At 36.9% G+C, this 3554-nt stretch overlaps 1 annotated feature.

Annotated features, from left to right (window-relative positions):
- Positions 633 to 798: a silencer, noted in NCBI's record as "fragment chr4:72836369-72836534 (GRCh37/hg19 assembly coordinates)". NCBI's record gives its function as "represses an EF-1alpha promoter that drives an FKBP-Casp9 reporter gene in an ReSE screen in K562 erythroleukemia cells {active_cell/tissue: K562}" and the evidence as "EXISTENCE:reporter gene assay evidence [ECO:0000049][PMID:32094911]".

The raw sequence follows: 3554 nt of genomic DNA, 5'->3' as shown, positions 1-3554 counted from the left end.
AAGGTACTTATAACGAAATGGACAAGAAATTTTACCTAACATTTTTATTAAAATTCAGATGTTTGTATATATTTCCTCCTTAAACATATTTATTTGATTTATATTCATGTACATATATTTCCTAATTTTGAATTCTTTTGGCTTTCTTAAAGCAACACAATTTGAGACAGTTTTAATATGTTACTCTTTTCTATACTATTATATTGAAATAATTTCAAACTGACACAAATGTCACAAGAGTAATACAAATAACATCTGAATATCCTTTACCCAAATTCCACAATTAACATTTTATTGTATTTATTTTATCTTTCTCTCTTTCCAATGGTGATTTTAAAATTTCATCATCCCTTTTACAGTTAGTAGTTGGCATTCTATTATTTCCTTGTTAATTTATTTGTTGATATCTCTAAAAACTCATGGATTTTTATTTTATTCATTTTTTTTTTTTTTTTGAGAAGGAGTCTCACTGTGTTACCCAAGCTGGAGTGCAATGGCGTGATCTTGGCTCACTACAACCTCCACCTCCCAGGTTCAAGTGATTCTCCTGCCTCAGCCTCCCAAGTAGCTAGGATTACAGGCACCTGCCACCACACCTGGCTAAATTTTGTATTTTTAGTAGAGACGAGTTTTCACCATGTTGGCCAGGCTGGTCTTGAACTCCTGACCTCAAGTGATCCACCCTTCTTGGCCTCCCAAAGTGCTGGGATTACAGGCGTGAGCCACCATGCCCGGCTGACTATTTTTAATCTATTTTTATTATTATTTATTTCGATATTAAATTGACCCAATGTTGGCCAGTGTAAATCACTTTGAGCTGTCTCCTCTAGTCTATTGATAAGTTCTCATCATGTTTGAGCACTCCTTTGCTTTATGACACAAGATATTCCAAATGTATAGCAATGATAAGTGTGTTCACTTGTTTAACAATCATAGCATTCAAATCAAGATAAACACCTCTTTGGAATCAGGTACACAGCAATAAATTGACGATTATGGCAAAGTTTTAGTAATGAAATAAGTAGAAACAGATGTCAGTTTGTCCCCTATATTATAATAGAGACCACTCTGAGGGTCAGATTGGTGTCACTGCATGCATGCAAAGACTGTGACAGAATTCTTTCCCCCAAATAATAAGTGGAAGATTCTTGATGTCTACTCAGGGTTGAAGTTTATATACTCTGTTAGGAGGACAAAAGATAACTTCAGTGAATGCTAGGCCTAAATACCAACTCACTCAGTTGCTGGATCTAGAAAATAACTGAGGCATGAATGCCCTGAGCCACTAATGTAAGACCTGCGTCTGGAGCAGGGCCTCAGAAGACTGGTGAAGACAGTCACAAACCTAACAGACAGGGAAGGGTAAACATAAAGAAAGTAAAACAAATGGGTAAGTGGACAGCCTCCTTCTCAAGACAAAACTAAAATTCCAAATCACATAAAGAAATCTGATAAGGCAACGAAATCAAAAATTTAAAGCTGACAACATTCAGGTAATAAAAAGTTATTTAAAAAAATTTTATGCCTAGAATTTGCGTAAAGTCAATTATGCATATTTGCAAAAAGGTCAATATGGATTATTGGGGTTTGGGTTTAAAAACTTCCTCTATTCCAAACCAAAAAAGAAAAATGTCGGATAAATAAAATAAAAAAGAAAAGCCACAATAACATAGCTTGGCAGGAGTTAATCTGCGGGTTTACTAGTGTGTTTGCACAGAAGTAGGCAGTAAGGAATTTGGCATCTAGAGGTTAAAGGAAACCAAAGTGGTATTGCAGGAAATGGTGGGCCAGAGACAGGATCAATGTTTGAAGCTAGAAGGTAGGCAAGCCCTACAACGTGTTAAAGAAAGCTGAAAAATCACTGAAAATCTCTATTCCTACTAACTGGAGCTAGGCAGGCAGGTTAGTCTCACTAATTACTTCTAGGGACTGAGCAAAACCACCTCATGTAACAATGACTGCATCTGTCAAAATCCCAAATCCCCACAGAGGCAGTAACTCTGAGACATGCTTATTTGGCCCAGTTCTGCACTAAAAAAAAAAAAAAAAACAAACTACCAATCAATATCATAGAAGGATAATTTACCTGATATTTTTAGGTAACTGTTTGATCAAGTGGCAATAAATTAGTAAATGTCATGCAAACAAAAGCAAATGATTAGATGGCACCTGCACAAGGTCTGCTGGATCAGCATTCATTGGAGAAAAACTCAGGAAAACAGGATCCGTAGCAGACTTGTATATCCTTCCTTGCTTATCACAAGATTGGCAGCCTAGAGCAATTTAGCAGTGCCAGACGTAAAACTTCAGCAGAGATCTTCATACTTGGGCAACAGGGCTTCGAGGAGCCTCCTTTTTTAAACAGCTCTAACCATTCCCCTGGTGTTATCATGGGTTATGATATAATAGCAATATAATGTAACAGAATGTGGATCCAGCCTGTCTTCCTGACATCTCTACATTTGTGTTTGCTGTTGGAAGATAACCAGCCCATCCCTGGTGTGACTAGGAATCCCAGCCATGAGGATGCTGCTATTTGGTATGGAAGCAAGCAGCAGGATTACCACACCAACGTTCATGGCTAGATAAACATTGGTGTGGTAAATCCTGCTGCTTGCTTCCTTGGCACTATCAGGGAACTGGGATTCAATTTTTGTGGTTGGCTAGAAATTATTGCCTTAAGTGGTTGGATTTGGCTGGTTTATAAGGAGCTTCACAGGAGGCATAATCCCTCTCTAGAAGACAAGTTGAAGAACATCAGTCTTGGAAAAGTAACATTTACCTCTTGGAAAAAACAGAAAATTTGAATAATACCATGAATGGGCTTGATCTAATGGACGTTTGTAAAACACTACTCCACAGAATCAGATAATATTTGTGGTACCTTAAAAAACACAGGAAATGTTTTCTAAATGGCCACTGTAAAAGTCAAAAGTTTACCATCCTGGCTAACACAGTGAAACCCTGTCTCTACTAAAAATATAGAAAATTAGCCGGGTGTGGTGGCTGGCGCCTGTAGTCCCAGCTACTCCGGAGGCTGAGGCAGCAGAATGGCGTGAACCCAGGAGGCAGAGCTTGCAGTGAGCCGAGATCGTGCCACTGCACTCCAGGCTGGTTGACAGAGCGAGACTCCGTCTCAAAAAGAAAAAAAAAAGTCAAAAGTTGACAAATTTTAAAAATATTATAAAATTTAAAATAAAGTTAAATGAAAATGTAAAAAGTGATGGTTAAATTTGAAAATAAAATACAATAAATGGATCTAGCTATGTATCTAGATAATAGTATAATCTCAGAGAAAAATATTTCAAATTAGTTTAAAACTGTGTCTGTAGAGTGGAATATACCTTGTGGACAAGGAAGTCTTCAATAATTGTAAACTATGTTCAATATTATATTGCTTTAAAAATAACATCACTATGTTGTTCTTAAAATGTCATGTGCGTGCATGCAGATGCTTCAAGAGAGTGGTTTTTATTGGCCAAGATGAGACAATTTGCGTACCAAAAAGCATAATATTGGTACAACTAAATGACTACTTTGAAAAATCTTTTTGC

The sequence above is a fragment of the Homo sapiens genome, chromosome 4 (assembly GCF_000001405.40).
Source record: "Homo sapiens chromosome 4, GRCh38.p14 Primary Assembly".
Taxonomy (NCBI): domain Eukaryota; kingdom Metazoa; phylum Chordata; class Mammalia; order Primates; family Hominidae; genus Homo; species Homo sapiens.
Note: the sequence above shows the minus strand (reverse complement) of the source record. Positions and strands in the feature narration are given on the sequence as shown.